This window comes from Homo sapiens, chromosome 11 (assembly GCF_000001405.40).
Source record: "Homo sapiens chromosome 11, GRCh38.p14 Primary Assembly".
Lineage (NCBI taxonomy): Eukaryota > Metazoa > Chordata > Mammalia > Primates > Hominidae > Homo > Homo sapiens.
This window is the reverse complement of record NC_000011.10, coordinates 49891168-49910388: the sequence shown is the minus strand read 5'-3', so window position 1 is coordinate 49910388 and position 19221 is coordinate 49891168. Positions and strand designations below refer to the sequence as shown.

Here is a 19221-nt window from a genome sequence, read left to right as displayed (position 1 = left end):
TAACAAACCTTCACATGTACCACTGAACTTAAGATTTAAAAAAGTTGTAAACATCTTCATAGTCTATATATACCTTACCTTTTGACTTTTTCATTTAAAAAGGGAATTCTCTTATTTACATTTGATTAATATTTTCAATGAGCTGACAAGAGAGGACTCAGTGTCTTTTCCTGGCATTTCCTGGCACAATCTTTAAAGCCACGGGCATAGGTCTGTATTCAGACACACATAGGCTTGTATCTGACCATATACAGGTTTGAATATCATTGTATAGGAGTCTGTATTTGACTGTGCACTCGGATCTGTATCCAGCAGCATGTATGTCTGTATGACCATATATATGTATGTATCCAGTGATACCTGGGTCTGTATCTAACTGAACACAAAGTCTATATATGAACACACAGGTCTGTATGTGAAAACACAAAGATCAGTATTTGATTAGTTGTGTTTGCATTTATATAAGTTTTGCATATGATATCACCCAGTTCTGTGTCTGTCTACACTTGGGGCTACATCTTGCCATACACTGAGCTGCATTGGACCATATGTGTGTTTATATCTGCCCATACAGGGATTTGCTTTGGGCCATTAACAGGTCTTTATCCAAGACACATGGGTTGTAGAATTATAGATATATGCTTGTTAGGAGGTAGGGTGAAGACTAAATTTTATAACTGTCAAAAAGTTTTTCAACACAATTGTAAAATTATATACTTCCACAAGAGATGTATGAGAGTTCTGGTTATTCCGCATCCTCAGTAACAATTGGATTGGTTTTAATTTGCATTTCCTGGATGACTAAATATGTTGAACATATAATTCTTGGCTGGTCTGTTGAACATTAAAAAAATCATGTGACTTGTCTTGACTTGTAAAACTTCTTTATGCATTCTAGATACAAGTTCTTATTCAGACATATGTATTGTAAGCACACCCACAATGTATGGCTCACTTTTTCATATCATTAACAGTTTTTATGAGCCAAAGTTTTTATTCTGATGCACCTGAATTTATCAATTTTTTTTTTGTATTCAAGGTCTTTCAGATGGAATATCAACAAAGAAACTTCAGACTTAATCTGCAATAAAGACCAAATGGATATAATAAGTATTTACAGAACATTTCATCCAGTGGCTGCAGGAAACATTTTCTTTTCCTCAGCACACAGATCATTCTCAAGAATAGACCATATGTTAGGTTACAAAACAAGTCCAAAAACATTCAAAAAATTTGAAATAATATCAATTGTCTTATCTGACAACAATGAAATAAAACTAGAAATTAATAATGAGAAATTTTGGAAACCATACTAATACATGGAAATTAACAAAATGCTCCTGAATGATCAGTAGGGTCCATGAAGAAATTAATTTTGTGGTATTTCCTTTGTCTTTTTAAAGGGAGGGGCATCTGAAAGACAGTTCATACTTTCAAATGGTTTTCTAGATTTATATCAATTACCTCTCAGCAGCAATATATCAATGCAGAATCTTACTGCATTCTCATGAATGTAGACTATTATCAAAATAAATTACACTGATTTAAAAAAAGAAAACTGATAAACTTCTTGAAACAAATAATGGAAACAAATATACCAAAATCTATCAAATACAGAGAAAGCATTACTCAGATGGAAGTTTATAGCTATAAGTGCTTACACCAAAAAAACCCCTTCAAATAAACAAGTGAATAAAGCATCTTAAAGGAGTAGAAAAGCAAGAGGAAATAAAGCCAAAAACTAGAGGAAAATAAATGATAACGATCACAGCAGAAATAAATAAAAATACGAAATATCAATGAAACAAAAGGTTGTTTTTTTTTAAAGTTAAACAAAATTGATAGAACTTAACCAGACTAAGGAAAAAGATCCAAATGAATATAATCAGAAATGAAAAAGGAGACATTAAAATTGATACTGCATAAATTCAAAGGATCATTAGTGGCTACTATGAACAATTATATGCCAATAAATTGGAAAATCTATAAGAAATGGACAAATTCCTAGATGCAAATAACCTACCAAGATTGAATGAGGAAGAAATACAAAATCTGAGCAGACTGAAGTCATAATAAAGTCTCCAAGTAAAGAAAAGCCCAGGAGCTGATAGCTTCACATCTGAATTCTACTAAACATTGAAAGAAGAATTAATACCTATCCTACTCAAACTATTCTGAAGAATAGAGGAGTAAGGAATATTTTCAAACTAATTCTGAGGCCACTATTACCCTGATACTGAAACCAGACAAAGATATATCAACAACAACAACAAAAAACAAAACTACAGACCAATATCTCTGATGAATATTAAAGCAAAAACCCTCAACAAAATACTAGCAAACTGAATTCAACAATACATTTAAAACATCATTCATCATGACCAAGTGGGATTTATCCCTGAGATTTCAACATATGTACATCAATCAGTGTGATACATCATATCAACAGAGTGAAGGGTAAAAACCATATGATCATTTAAACTGATGCTGAAAAAGTATTTGATAAAATTCAACATCCCTTCATGATAAAGCCCTGAAAAAGCCGGGGATAGAAGGAACAAACCTCAACATAATAAAAGCTATATATGGGAGATCCACAGCTAGTCTCATAGTGAATTGTGAAACATGGAAAACCTTTCTTCTAAGATCTGGAACACAAGGATGCCTACTGTCCCCACTGTTATTCAACATAGTACTGGAAGTCCTAGCTAGAGCAATTAGACAAAAGAAAGATATGAAGGGAATACAAATTGGAAAGGAAGAAATCAAATTATCTTTGTTTGCTGAAGATATGATCTTATATTTGGAATAACCACAACAAAACTATTAGAAATAATAAATTCCATAAAGTTTCAGGACACCAAATCAACATATAAAAGTCAGCAGAATGTCTATATGCCAACAGTGAACAATGTGAAAAAGAACAAATAATCCCATTTTAAAAAGCAACACATTAAATTAAATACCTAGAAATTAATTTATACAAAGAAGTAGAAGATCTCTATAATGAAAACTGTAAACACTGATTAAGGAAACTGAAGAGGACACACACCAAAAGGGAAAATATTTGATGTTCATGGATTGGAAGAAACTATTTTGTTAAGGTGTCCATACTACCCAAAGCAACCTACAGATTGAATACAATCCCTATCAAAATACCAATGACGTTCTTCACAAAAATAGAAAAAAAAAACTATCCCAAAATTTATATGGAATCACTAAAGATGCAGACTAGCCAAAGCTATCCTGAGCAAAAGAACCAAATTGGAGGAATCACATCACCTGACATCATATTATACTACAGAGCTATAGTAAACAAAACAGGATGGTACTGGCCTAAAAACATAGACCAATGGTACAGAATGGAGAACCCAGAAACAAATCGCCACACCTACAGTGAACTCATTTTCAGCAAAGGTGCCAAGAACATATGCTGGTGAAAAGACAGTTTCTTCAACAAATAATGCTGGGAAAACTGGATGTCCATATGTAGGAGAATGAAACTAGATCTCTATCTCCAAATACAAAAAAATCTAATTAAAATGGATTAAAGACTTAAATTTAAGACCTCAAAATATGAAACTACTACAAGATAACATTGGGGAAACTCTCTTGGACATTGGTCTGTGCAAAGATTTATTGAGCAATATTTTCCTAGCACAGAAAGGTATAAGTAAAAATGGACAAATGAGATCACATCAAGTTAAAAAGCTTCCACACAGCAAAGGATACGACCAACAAAGTGAAGAGACAACTCATAGAATGGGTGAAGATATTTGCAAACTGCCCATCTGACAAAGAATTAATAAGGACAATGTAGAAGGAGCTCAAACAATTCTATAGGAAAACATCTGGCTGAGCATGGTGGCTCACACGTGTAATCGCAGCACTTTGGGAGGCTGAGGTTGGAGGATCACCTGAGGCCAGGAGTTCAAGACCAGCTTGGCCAATATGATGAAAACCCATCTCTACTAAAAATATAAAAATTATCCAGGCGTGGTGGTGCATGTCTGTAATCCCCGCTACTCAGGAGGCTGAGACAGGAGAATCACTTGAACCCAGGAGGCAGAGGTTGTGGTGGGCTGAGATCATGCCATTGCATTCCAGTCTGGGCAACAAGAGTTAAACTCCATCTCAAAAAAAAAAAAAAAAAAAAAAGAAAACATCTAATAATCCAATGAAAAAATGAGCAAAATATTAGGGAATCCTAATACACTGTTGATGGGAATATACATTAGTACAACTACTATAGAAAACAGTTTGAAGGTTTTTCAGAAAACTAAAAATTGAGCAACTATGTGATCCAGTAATCCCTTTGCTCAAAGTATACCTAAAAGAGAGGAAATTAGTATATCAAAGAGATATTGGCCTTCACATATTTGTTTCAGCACTATTCACAATAGCCAAAACTTGGCAGCAACCTATGTGTCCATTGACAGATAAATAGATAAAGAATATGTGGTACCTATATACAATGGAGTACTATTCAGCCATTAAAAAGAATGAGATTCACTCATTTGCAACAAGATGGATAAGACCAGAGGTCATTATATTATGTGAAGTAAGCCAGGCAAAGCAAGACAAACATCATGATATCTAACTTATTTGTGGGATCTAAAATTCAAAACAATTGAACTTATGGATGTGGAGAATAGAAGGATGGTTACCAGAAGCTAGGAAGTGTAGCGGGGAGGCGAGAGGGTGGGAGATAAGGATGGTTAATGGGTACAAAAATAATCAGAAAGAGTGTATAAGGCTTACTACTCGATAACACAAAAGGGTGTTAATTGTACATTTAAAAATAACTAAAAGAGTGTAAGTGGATTGTTTGTAATGCAAAGGGTAAATGCTTGAGGGGATGGATACCCCATTTTTCTTGATGTGATTATTATGCATTGCATGCCTGTATCCAAACATGTAATGTACCACATAAACATACAGAACTACTATGCACCCACAAAAATTAAAAATTAAAATTTTAAAAAAGAATGTATATTCTGCGGCTTTTGGGCCCCTTGTTCTCTTATGTAAATTGGTCAAATTAGTTAATGGTGTTGATTAAGCCTCCCCTCCCCCTTCCCCCTTCCCCCTCCATTCTCCCTTCCTTTCCCCTCCCCTCCCCCTCCCTTCCTCCTCACTTCCCCCTCCCTTCCCCCTTCTATTTCCCCCCTCCTTCCCCTTCCCCCTTCCCCCTTCCCCCTTCCCTTCCACACACCTACAGTGAACTCATTTTCAACAAATGTGCCAAGAACATATGATGGGGAAAAGACAGTTTCTTCAACAAATAATGCTGGGAAAACTGGATGTCCATATGTAGGAGAATGAAACTAGATGTCTATTTTTCTCCAAATACAAAAAATCTAATTAAAATGGATTAAAGACTTAAATTCCTCCTTCCCTTCCCCCTTCACTTCCCTTCCCCTTTCCCTTTCCTTCTCTTCTCTCTTGTTATATTGCCCATGCTAAACTCAAACTCTTAGGCTGAAGTGATACTCCCACCTCAGCCTTCCAAGTAGCTAGGACAGAGAAACATGCCACCATATCCTTCTTTGTTCCTTGTTAGTTTTTTAAATGCTTTGAGGTATATTTTTTTTGCCTTGTTTCAGATGAGACTTTGGACTTGGAGTTTGGGCTAATGCCGGGATGAATTAAGACTTCGAGGGACTGTTAGGAAGGCATAACTGTCTCTTTAAAATATGAAAGAGACATGAGATTTGGGAGGGGCCCTGGGTAGAATTATATGATTAGGCTTTGTGTCCCCACCCAAATCTCATCTTGAATTGTAATCCCCATAATCCTCAGATGTCAAGGGAGAGAAAAGGTGGAGGTTATTGAATCATGGGGACAGTTTCCCCCATGCTGTTCTCATGATAGTACGTTCTCACAAGATCTTATGGTTTTATAAAGGGGCTCTTTTCCTTTTGTTCAGCACTTATCCTTCCTGCCACCCTGTGAGGATGGTGCCTTGCTTTCCCTTTGCCTTCTGCCATGATGGTAAGTTTCCTGAGGCCCCCCAAGTCATGCTGAATTGCGAGTCAATTAAACCTCTTTCCTTTATAAATTACCCAGTCTCAGGCAGTTTATAGCAGTGTAAAAATGGACTGATACATTAGAGGATTGAATTAATGGACTAATGATCACTATGGTTGCATATGACAGAGATTCAGGTTTGATTAAAAACTTCTACTCCAACCTAAAACTGTACAGCTCTGATTACCTGCCTTTCTAAGTGTTAGAATCTCAACTTCAGTTCTAAGTCTCTCTGCCTGTAAGCCTCAGGCTTCTTAGGCACAGACTTTCTATCAACAAGGTTAGGTCCTCCTTGCTGAGGATGTGATTAGGTAAGAGATTCTGGGGCTGGTTTCCTTGTCATTCTGGCTTAAATATTACTTGATTTACCTCAGTATTTCATAATGTAAAACATAATTTATTGTTCAATTTACTTTAGAATTTCTTTTTTCACATTGCAAGATTTTCACATTACTTGGAATTCAGTGACTCTTTCTTGACAAAAGCCAAGTCTTTTTCCTTGGCAAAAACCAAGTATTTTTCCCCTAGGGATTGTTCTCCAGAAGAAAAGTGTTCATTTGAATTTGTTCCAAATATTCTAATTCATCTATAAAAGCCTTACGGTCTTTTTAATTAAAAATATTGATGATGTAAAAGTCATAGACTATGTCTACACATATAAATGGAAGACTTTTTTTCCTGATAGAATAACCTATGAGATAGATAGGTTAAACATTAAAATTTCTGCCCAAGCTACAGTATGTCTTCAACTGGTATCTAGTCCTCTAGATGGGTTGTTTTATTTCATCCACCTTTGTTTGTAAAAATTTGTAGAAGATCTCAATTTCCTGGAATGAGATTTGGTAGATATACAGACATGCCTTTAATCAGAAAAGAAGTGGTCTTAGGGATATACTATTTGAATGACTGAAAGACTGAAGAGTTCTGCTTCTGCCCGTAAGAAAGCTTTGTCATTGACTTTTTCACAAAGTTAAATCCCAGCATTTCCTTGTTAGCTATAGAGCTAAACAGCTGGGCACATGAATGTTATAAATCCTTGATCACAGTAAAATATTAATGATTGTTTCACCATAATTGACAGAGAAGATACAAATTCAAGAAACAAATTTTGGTGTTGACGAATTTTTTGTTTGCTTACTTGGGTCACCAGATAATGGGCGTGTCCAGGTTAATTTCCACTAATTAGGTCAATATTTATATAGTCATGCAAAGAAATTATCTCTGTTTTTCTATGAAGAAATTTTCCAGGGGATGTAAAATTTTAACTACCTTTGTACAGTAGATTCTGGCATTATGTTTAAGTGTCTTTATATTTTGGACATCTGCTCTGGATACCTTTATACTTTTCTGAAAGATTGAGATAATAGAAAGCCTGTGTGGAAATATGGAAATTGTCACACTAGGAGATATTTCTAGATCCATGGACCCGCCATACATTTTTCATGTGTTTTAAGAACACAAATAGATGCATGAGATATCTTCAGTAACCCTCAGTGAAAGAAGCATTGCTTTTCTGGACCAAGGACAAGACCCAAGATGTGAATTTTTGAAGCAATTGACAAGGGATACTCAGTGAAACTTCCTGTAATGTTTTGAACTATAGCTAAAGTCTTAAATATCACGTTTTCATTGGAGGAATCTTAATTGGGAAAATTAAGCAAGCAAAACACTGACATTAATCAGAGTATACAAGTATATTTGGTTTTCATATATAGCCTTATAAGGGTTTATTTTCTAATTTGCCAAGTAACAGGAGAAACATGTTCCATGTTACACATAAAATAAGTAAACCAATAGATTTATAATCTAGTATGTAGAATATTTTATTATGTGATACATTAACATAGGTATAGAATTATTTTTAGATATATTTGATTAGAAAATTTAAAATTGCAGACTATGTCAATCGTGTTGGAGTGTAAAGAAATCAATGCCTAATATGTTCTGGAAGCATGATATGGTCTTTTATGTGTGAATCTAAAAATTATCTCAGCATATACAAGTTCAGGAAAGTATTGAGTCTACTCTTCTTTAGAGAGATTTACAAAACCATATTGCTTTATAAATTTTATCTGTAAGGGATTATTTTTGTTACTATGGGATTTTATCATTTGAAAAAGTCATGTTCTTAGGAAGCTGTGTTAAGTTTTTTTTTTGTCTAGAAAAGTGTTAACTTATTTATGTTGAGTGCCTTGTAATATTATATTTCAGTTTTTAAAGTATTAAATCTTTGATGACTTAAGCTAAAGAGGATAGTTTACATATCCTGGTTTTTACAAGTAAACATCTAAACTGCCCAAGAGAAGATTTATCCTGGTGAAATTTATCATTGATGATTAAAGAGAGAAAAGGAACTAAATCTTGCAGCGAGTAAGATGTGAAAAAAAGAGACTGGGCTATAGGTTTTATTATACCCTTTTGTTCTTCAACAGATGTGCCTTTGTTAGTCTATAACTTCAGCAATGACAGAACTCTAGAATCAGCTGGAAGTGATAATGTGAATGAGGCATGTGGAACGTTTATCACAAATGGCTTCTAAGGAAGCTCAAACTCTCTCTGCACACATCCTCCTCCATGGTCAGATCTACGTAAACGGAATCATCTTGTCTACATTTGAGGTTTAGTAATTCTGCAGTTTTCCTCAGCAGTGAATATCACAAAGTTTGGGTTTGTATCTCTACTTGTCGCATTGTTCTCTTTTCTTTAAGTTTGTCCTTAACTGTCAGATCTAGAGATACTAAGAGATCTATGTTGTTTTTATTTTTCTTTTTAAATTGTCTTTTCTTTCCTTTTTTTTTTTTTTAACTAGGATCTGGTCTGTGTCTATTTGTTATGCTATTCCCAAAGCCTCCTGAGTCACCCAGGGACCCACAGGAGGTTGTGCTTCCAGTATTTCCTCACGAAAATAAATTTTTCTAAAGAAGATTTTTAGCAGAAAACTAGCCTCACTTTTTTTTTTTTTTTTTTTTTTGAGATAGTCTCACTCGGTCACCCAAGCTGGAGGACAGTAGCATGATCCTGGCTCACTGCAACCTCTGCCTCCTGGGTTCAAGTGATTCTCATGCCTCAGCCTCTTGAGCAGCTGGGATAGCAGGTGTATACCACCATGCCCAGCTAATTTGTCTCACTTAATTATGAAACTAATCATCTTATTTCCTGTGAATATTAATGTATTTACTATAATCTCTCTTTTTTTCTGATTTGACCCCTTTTTCTTTCATTTTCTACCATTTAGCTCTCCTGCTGATGATCAGTTCAACTTTTTTTTACTAGAATTCTGCTTGCTTCTCATTAAGATATATTTAATTACAGGTAAAATCACTACTCATACATAATTAAATATGTAATTACTAAGACATACAATTTTATTGTGTGCCCCAAAAGGTTTTCCTGAATTATAAATGTTTTATTCTTTTTAACCAAAACTATTTCTATAAATCTTTTCAAGTTGACAAAGATTCACATGATTTGTTCTATCTTCAAAGTGAAGCATTCAAGAACACTGATAATAACTATAATTTATTGAGTCCTTACTAGATGCCAGCCAGTGTTCTAGGCACTTTACTTTCTTTTATAAATCAACAGGTAGTTCACTTGAGTTCAAAATTAATTGCTGAAAATTAAGCAATTAAGAGGTAATGACTATTGGGATCCCCATTCTACAAATGATGAAAATAAGGGTCAGAGAGCTTTAGTAAATGGCCCAAAGTCTCATAAAAATGGTGAACATGAGGTTGTAGCTGAAGAAGTGTGACTCCAGTGTCCACATTATTCACAACATGCTACAATTTCCCTTTGAGGGTGTCTTGGATCTTAAATAGGTGCATACTCAGTGAGAAGCTTATAGTCACTACTCACTGTAATAATAAAACCTATTGTCCCACAGACTACCATTTTTCATGTAACAGTCATGAGCTTGGAAAATTTTTATTTAATTATATACTTATAAAAAAAGAAAATTGTCAGCAGAATACCATAAAGGAGAGATGCACTACTAGTTCTGTAGATAGTTGTCTAGAAAGGATTTTGAATTTCTCAAATTTAATCCCATTGTTTTCCGGTGAGTAAACTGAGACAGACTTGTAAATGCGTTCAAAAAATGACTCAAATCCGTGCCTTCTTACACAGAATTTGGAATTTCTCTTAGAGTATGCTTCTTTTTGGAATCTGGTAACTAAGATTCTATTTTTGAGTACTCTTGGTGTCTAAATAGTGTTATGAATAAAACCATGTCCAACTGTTCTGTACCTCTTTCTACATCGTCTATTTTCTCTTCTCTCACTACCTAGCTTATCTCAAGAATTCATGAGAAAACCACGGCATATTTGGTAGTTGGTGATAGTCATGAGTTAGTTAACTTGAGTTCAGATTAATTAAAATTAAGATATTGTATGTAAGTGTTGAAAAAATTGGGGTACAGGCAAGGATAAAATGGAGAGAATCACAGCTCCTTATAAGTTGGACCAGGAGTCAGACCAAGTAATTGATACAGGGAACAATGTGATAAATAATATCATAGCTATTCCTACAGTTCAGAGTCCTGTGTTTTAACATTTAATGAAAGACTAATGAAGGTTAAATATCCTTTGGGGTGTGAAGGAATGAATGTCTAATAGTAGAAGGGCAGAGTACGGAGTGATATATTTCAGAAGATGTTATTTTTGGTGCTACACAGATCATATTATAAATATACCACAAGTACAAACACAAAGGACTAAATCTATTTCAATATATTTATTTAGAGTTTATTACCACCACCAGAGAGTAAGTTTCTTGAGACCAAGAACCTGTTGCCTATTCAGCATAGCTGACTTCTGTGCCAAGAAAAATGTTTTAAATAAGAAGTTGTGAAATGTACGAATGGTTATTTGGACTTTAACTGTTCTTCTGTATAGATTATTCACTAACACTTAGAAGTGGAAGCATTCACCTTTTGGCTGAAACTAAAATATTTGAGGAGAAACAGAGTCGTCAAGGGAAGACGGGCTCTTTGGGTGAGGAACTCAATAGAGACTTACTAAATGTTTATTGTGTGTAAATCACTATTCAGGATACAACAATGAAGACATGCTGTGCGACACAATAGATGTAATCATATTCCTGTTGACTATTTCATTACAGGTCCTGTTCTCCTGAGCTCTCACCTCTGATGCAAGCCTGAAAGAAAAGTAAATGAGACAGAATAATAATATTACAGAATTTGTCCTCCTGGGCTTCTCTCAGGATCTGGATGTGCAAAAAGCATTATTTGTCATATTTTTACTCACATACTTGGTGACAGTGGTGGGGAACCTGCTCATTGTGGTGACTATTATTGCCAGCCCTTCCTTGGGCTCCCCAATGTACTTCTTCCTTGCCTGCCTGTCATTTATAGATGCTGCATATTCCACTACAATTTCTCCCAAATTGATTGTAGACTTACTCTGTGATAAAAAGACTATTTCTTTCCCAGCTTGCATGGGCCAGTTATTTATATACCACTTGTTTGGTGGTTCTGAGGTCTTCCTTCTTGTGGTGATGGCCTGTGATCACTATGTGGCCATCTGTAAGCCACTGCACTATTTGACCATCATGAATCGACAGGTTTGAATCCTTCTGTTGGTGGTGGTCGTGACTGGAGGTTTTCTGCATTCTGTGTTTCAAATTGTTGTTGTATACAGTCTCGCTTTCTGTGGCCCCAATGTCATTGACTACTTTGTCTGTGACATGTACCCATTATTGGAACTGGTATGCACTGACACCTACTTTATTGGCCTTACTGTTTTTGTCAATGGTGGAACAATCTGTATAGTCGTCTTCACCCTTCTACTAATCTCCTATGGAGTCATCCTAAACTCCCTTAAAACTTACAGTCAAGAAGGGAGGCATAAAGTCCTGTTTACCTGCAGCTCCCACATTATCGTCTTTGCCCTCTTTTTTGTTCCCTGTATTTTCATGTATGTTAGACCTGTTTCAAACATCCTTTTGATAAATTCCTGACAGTGTTTTATACAGTTATCACACCCATGTTGAATCCTTTAATATACACATTGAGAAATTCAGAGATGAGAAATTCTGTAGAAACACTCTTGTGTAAAAAGTTAACTGTATTAGAGTAAGAGTGCCCCTATCATGTAGATAACAACGATGTAGACAAGGTCTTCCCAGTGTGGTCTTCTTCCACATGTGCAGCGCAGAATGGAGAATTGGAGAAATATGTGATTAAAATAGATGTTCCTGTTCAGAATGAAGACTACGGTGCCACCTTTAGTGTAATTTATTTAAATACTTTGTAGAATATACAAGCACCATATTCACGAATATCTTTGAAATTCGCTTTTCTCTGACTTGGGTTGAAACTCAATGTGCAGTCTGATAATACTCTTAAGATAAATCTTTGAAAGACTTCAGAAAAATTTAATAGTGCGTCCCTTAAGAACTTTAAACTAAACATTTTGAGGATGAAAATCTGTCCTATCCCGTTAAATAAGTTATGAGATCAGTAGAGATGCTAGCAGAGGTAAGTGGAAAAAAATTGATAAGGAGGAAGATTGTAAACAGTAGTTGCAACTCAGATCAGCTTCAGTGGCAAGATACATAGTTTGGCCTTCAGCTTTTCTCTTCTAATTCCCCTCAAGTAAGAGAATCCTAAATGAGCTGTTCTGATCATATATAAGAATATGTAAATTCACATGGCATAAGGGATATATTATGGTATATATGAGGAGCCTCTGCCCTGCCCTTCATTTAGGAAAGAAGGATTTATTTTTCCAGCTGTTGGGTGTGCTGTTAGTAGACAGCATTCAGATGATGTCCCCTTAGGTATCTTTAGAAGTTGCAGAAAGCCACCTCAATAAAGGTCTCATGCCCTTTCTCAGAGCAGTCCCTCTTTGCGTCCAGGTTAACATTTAGGTTCAGGTATCATTAGAGTGCAAGTCAGAAATATGGTACTTTTCTAGAAAAAAAATATTTCATTTTGTTATGTTAAATAACATAAACTATACTATAAAACTACAGTAACCAAAACAGCATGGTACTGGTATCAAAACAGATACATAGACCAATGGAACAGAACAGGGGCCTCAGAAATGACACCACACATCTGCAAGCATCTAATCTTCCACAGTTCTGTAGACAACTGGGCTTTAAGGTTATTGGGTTCCAATGGCATTGTGTGAGTAACTTCCCATTATAAATCTCCTGGAGTCATTGTCATTTCTTTTGTGTTACCATATACAGATGGTATATTTGGTAAGGTTTGTAAAATGTCTCTGATGGTCATGAATGATGTTGTTCCAAGGAACTTGCCTGATGAGTCCAAACTCTGTATTTTGGCTAGACAGATCAATTACACTAGACTAGTGTTATTTACTGTCATTCCCATAGTCCTCCAAGCTTCTTCTGGGGAATCAACTATTATGATGCTATCAATGAATTAATTAATCAAATTAAAATGAATTTATTTTTATTATATTCGTGTATAAATTTTATTTCACCAAATTATGGCTGTATGCTAAGTATATATCTGTGGGGAAAAATGATAAACTTATTTTGCCTTTTTTTCTGCATAAAACTGAGCTATTCATGATATTTCTTTGATTCTAAATGTTTATCTGGAAGTATAAAGATATGGATATTGCAATTAAATTTTGAAAGAATAATGTGCTATTCTAGATAAGACAGATTAAAACGTTATATTGATAAAAAGGCAGTACTGTTTCAAATATATACATATGTAAATAAATAATAGGACTTACACATTACTTCAGTTTCCTATATATATTTAAATTGAGGATGTTTCATTTAAGATGTTTTTGTTACATATGATAGAAAACTCAATTCAAACTATCTTGAAATATAAGGATATTTACTTATTGGCTAACATAAGTGTAAAATTCAATCTTATGTCCAGCTTCATGGTAAGAGGATGAAATTATTTAATGAAAGAGTGTTTTTCTTTGCTCACTGCACTGTATCCTGTGTGTCACATATTGGATTTCATCTGGCTCTCCTATCACAAGAAGAATTGCTATCTGTAGCCATTGAGAGAAGGTTCTTTTTTCAACGTTAGCCAAGGTAATTGACCTGATTATGATGTGGAATGGAGGTGTTATAACACAGTGGTGGTAAGCAATGATATTTTTGTCTTCCAGGTGACTGACAGGGGCACATCTTGCCATGCCCTTTCTAATTGTGATAATAAGTGAGAATAGAAAAGAATCAGGTTCTGAATGATTATAGTGTACCAGGATGAGATATTTTGGAGATGAAGGTCTAAGCTACACCTTTAAGTAAGTCATGAGACCAGTAGCGGTGCTAGTAAAAGGTGAAGTGGGAGAAATAGAATTGACAATAAAGGAATAAGATGGTACATAGCAGTTGCAACTCTATGATCAGCCATGGTGGCAAGAGACAATATTTGTCCCTTAACCTTTCTCTTTTAATTTTCCCCCAGGAAGAGAATCTTAAAGAAGCTGTTCTCAAGTGTATATGAAGAAATGGATTCAAGTGACATAATAGGTAGGCTGTGATAGATAAAAGGATGTACTTCCTTGCCCTTCCTTTAGGAAAGAAGGATATATATTTCCAGTTGCTGGGCACGCTGTTCACAGACAACTTTCAGATATTAGCCCTTTCAATATCTGTAGAAGTTGCAGAAAGCCACCTCACCAAAGGCCTCATGTCCTTTCCCAGAAAATTCCCTTTTTGCAACTAGATCAATATTTAGGTGTCACTGGAGTGCAAGTGATAAATATTGCCTTGTTCTACAAGGAAATATTTCATTTGACTAACAAATTGTGAATATCAAATATGCACTGACAAGAATTGGAGGAACGTATGTAAAGGCATCTTGTGGATATCGGAACAAAAAAGGCAAAATAGATGGCTGCATGGGGGAATGTTTATTAGCATTGGGTTAATTTCTCAGAATATATGTGGCATAGGTATGTGATGACTAAAACTTACTGAGCACATATTGTGTGTCAAACATGTGGAAATGAGCATTTCACATTCTCAGGTTAGGATTGTCCAGCTGGCACCGTAACTCATCTTTTAGGAGGCCATTCCAATGTCTCATTTGTTCAGCTTCTAGATGATGACAATTGTGGTTATACCAGTAAATTCTATTGTGATGAGTTATATGTTTTAAATTTATTTACTAAAAATTTTCTTCTGGATAGATAATGAATGAGATACCATGGCAATGGATAACAGATTCTACTCCGTGAATAATAAATAAGGCAAGTGCTAGGAAAAATATGTAACCAGAATATATGATGAAAAAATGCTGTCCTCTCCAGACTGAGGAGTTGGAATGAAGTAAGCTGTCACAAGGTTGTTGGCTGGTTTCCCTAGCTACTTGTACCATGTTAAAGAGTCAATGATGGACATTGCTGATGGCATTTTAGACCTTGTGGCTTTGTAGAGTATTCATCTCTGCAACAGTGACTACAAAGGTAACTGAGAAAAAGGCTGACTGACATCCAAAATGCAGTTCATGTTCATGAGATTCCTGGAAGCTTCTTCTGCAGTAGATTCTTTTTGTTGGGCATTTATGTTGTAAACTAACATTGTAGTATTTGGTGTTCCTTTTGAGAGATTCATCCACATATGGTTCTTCCAACTACTTTGTCATCATTTTTCCATTTTTAAATTTCCAATTTCCTCATTAGCTTATTAAACCTGTTAGCCAGTGTCCATTTTCAGTGTAGATCCATAAGTATGGTTATTATTCCTTCCACATACAGCGGAAAACAAGACTGACCGCTCAAAATACTGCCTTCTGGGAGGCTTTTCCTTCAATCTCGTGCTTCCAGACCACCTTCTGCAGACAGTGCAGCATTTGCAGAGTTTTGTCTGTTTTTGCTGTTCCATGCAGGTTGGTTACTCCTTTTGTTGTCATCTTTAAAACATTGTTTTTTATTTTCTATAGCTTTATTGAGGTGTATGTGACAAAAATCTATAATATATATTTAAGTTGTACAGTGTGATATTTTGGTAAATATATACATTGTGAAATGATTACCACAATCAACACGTTCAGCATCTCACATAATTACCTTTTGTGTGTGGTGAGAATATTTAAGATGCATTTTCTCAGCAAACTTCAAGTATACAATATGGTATTACCAAGTATAGACTCTATGCTGTAACTTAGTTCTCCAGAATTATTCATTCTGCATAAATGAAACTTTGTACTCTTTGACCAACATCTCCTCATTTCTCTGTCCCGGCATTCCATCACAATCGCCATTCTACTCTCTGCTCTTATGAGTTTGACATCTTTTTTTAGATTCCACATATAATTAAGACAATGCCGTCCTTACTTTCAGTGTGGAGAAAAGGGAACCCTTTTACATGGTTGACTGGAATGTAAATTGAAACAGCAATTATGGAAGACACCATGAAGGATAAAACTACCATCTGATCCAGCAATCCCACTATGTGGAATGAATAAAAGGAAAATGAAGTTAGTATTTTGAAGAGATACCTGAATTCCCACGTAAACTGCAGCATTATTTATAATCAGCAAGATATGGAAACAACTTAGACTTTCCCGGACAGAGCCTCGGCCCCCCGCCCACGCCTCCGGCCCCCAGCGTGGTGCTGCTGGCTGGGACCCAGCTGCAGGGTGGCGGGGCGCGCTGCATGACCCGGCCACCGCCGTCCCCACTCCTAGGCACACAGGTCGAGGAGGACCGCGCTGACTACAAAGAGTTCCAGGACTTCTCCAGTCTGCCTGACACCCGCAGCATCGCCTGGGACGACTCTTTCTACCCTTTCCAGGAGGAGGAGGAGGAGCACGGCCTCGAGGGTGTGGAGAGCGTCCTGGAGGAGGGCGTCCTGGAGGAGGGCGTCCTGGAGGCGTGGGGCTGCTGCAGACGTTGGTGCGGCGGGGGGTGGGCGCTGAGAAGGCGCAGGAGACTGACCACAATGGCTAGACCGGCCTTGATGTCGCCTGCTACCACGGCTTTGTGGATATACCGTGGTGGCCTTAGCTGAGTGCCCCCACATTGAAGTCAACTGGCAGGACAGGGAGGGGAACGCAACCCTAATCATAGCTGCACAGGCAGGAGCTGCCCCTGGCCCCATGGGCACAGTTGCCTTAGACACTGGCTCTCAGCCTTGCACTTCCTGCGTCAGCATCACCTGGGCTGGTTCATTTGAGTTTTCACACAGATCTGGTGGAAACACAGGCTGCCAAGCGCTGCCCCTGGAGTCTTTCTTTGAATAGGCCTGGGGTGGGGCCCAAGAATGAGCAGAAGAACAGGTTTCCTGGTGAGGCTGATGCTGCTGGCCCAGGGATCCCACGTTGAGGACGGAGGGCTTTGAGGTTTTCCTGCCTGATGATGGCCAGGAAGCCTTCTCAGTAGGCATGGAAGACCAGCAGAGTCCCAGACCCCAGGAGAGATGTCGTCAGAGGGACACAGAGGCATCATGGAATTAAAGTGAAAATGAAGAAAGGAGCTGAGCATCTGTTTAAAGACTTTCCTGCGCTGTTTGGCTAAAGAGGCTGTTCTGGCCGAGTCAGGGCACTCTATCATCACCAACTACTTGTTGAACTATGGAATGGGTCTTGATCTTGAAGGATGGACGCGTTCGGGTTGAAAGCAGCCATGCAGGGTGGAACCGATCGCATCCGAGCCCTGAGCTCGCAGGGGCGGGTGTACACTCGAGGGCCCCTGCCGTGGGATGTCGCCAGAGGAGTGGCCACTTACACGTCCGCCTCATGCAGAGGCTCCTGGAGCGCCCCTGCCAGCAGCGGTTGGGGAAAAAGTACCAGCTTAGCTGCCTCCGCTCCACCAGAGGGCGGGGAAGCCCGAGGGCTGGAAGAACTGGCTGCAGATGGTCAGGGACTGCAAGCCTTCCGCGCTGACGCCGCGCTCCGTGTGTGGCCTGGAGGACCGGGGCGCCCTGGACCACATGGTCAGGATGACCACCAGCCTCTAACAGCCCCGCTGTGGCCCTCGCGTGCCAGACCGTGTGCCCCCAGAGCTCCCTGTGCCTGGGGAAGAGGCGGCTGGCGGTGCAGGAAATCCTGGGGGCTCAGGAAATTCTAGCGACGCGGCGTGGGGTGGGGAGGCAGGCGCAGGAGGCGGGCGAAGTGGAGGGCGCAGAGCAGCACAAGCGGCCCTGCCCAGAGGCCGCGGGCTCCCGGGAGGGCTCCCCAAGAGCCGGCCTCCCACCTGCCCCGCTGCCAGGGTCCTGGGGCTCTGCCGACCCCGCCCCGCGGAAGGCCAGCCTCCTGCCCCTGCAGCGCCTGTGGCGGAGCAGCTTGCGGCCCGGCGTGGTGGTGCCCCGGATCCGCCTCAGCAAGGCGCCCGCGCCCAACTTGCAGCGCCAGAGGCCAGCGCGGAAGGGCAGCACCAAGGACAGTGGCCACCTGCGGATACCCAAGTGGCCTTACAAGGTGGCCACGGAGGAGAAACCGGAGGCTGAGGAGGCCGAGAAGAAGCGCCAGGCCAAGATGCAGGAGAAGCGCCCGCCGCCCTGGAAGAAGAGGACGTGAGAATCCGCGGGTGCTTGACACGGGGTTCGAGGGCAGCGTGAGGCCGCGGGGCTGGGCACCGTGGCCCCTCCCGGGACCACCAGGCCGCGCGCGTTTCCACGCTGTCTTTCTAGAATGCTCCCAGGAAGGGGCTGGGGGAGCCACAGCGATTCGCCTGACACCAGCCACCCTAGCAATCAGTACACCTAGCGGGCATGTTGCCTAAAAAGCTCCCTTTAGAGAAGCTCAATTAAGATGTTTTTAAAGATCAATTTATTAGGCCGGGCGCGGTGGCTCACGCCTGTAATCCCAGCACTTTGGGAGGCCGAGGCGGGCGAATCACCTGAGGTTGGGAGTCTGAGAGTAGCCTGACCAACATGGAGAAACCCCGTCTCTACTAAAAATACAAAATTAGCCGAGCATGGTGGCACATGCCTGTAATCTCAGCTACTCGGGAGGCTGAGGCAGGAGAATCGCTTGAACCCAGGAGGCAGAGGTGGCAGGGAGCCAAGATCGCGCCATTGCACTCCGGCCTGGGCAACAAGAGCCAACCTCCGTCTCAATAAAAAAAAACCTCAATTTATTAAAGAGTATTTTCTGTGTGATTTTGTATTTTTAATTGTTATCCAATTTGCCAAGTTTTACAAGTGATAGTGCCCCTTGTATCCAAGGCAGTTTTAATGCACTTGCCTGAAGACCTTTTATTTAAAATACTGTTTCTA

The 19221-nt window shown here is 38.8% G+C and overlaps 2 pseudogenes; both read left to right on the top strand.

Annotated features, from left to right (window-relative positions):
- Nucleotides 11203-12108, top strand: OR4A1P (olfactory receptor family 4 subfamily A member 1 pseudogene; annotated as a pseudogene).
- Nucleotides 15884-18520, top strand: ANKRD33BP5 (ANKRD33B pseudogene 5; annotated as a pseudogene).
- The last annotated feature ends 701 nt before the right edge of the window (nt 18521-19221 follow it).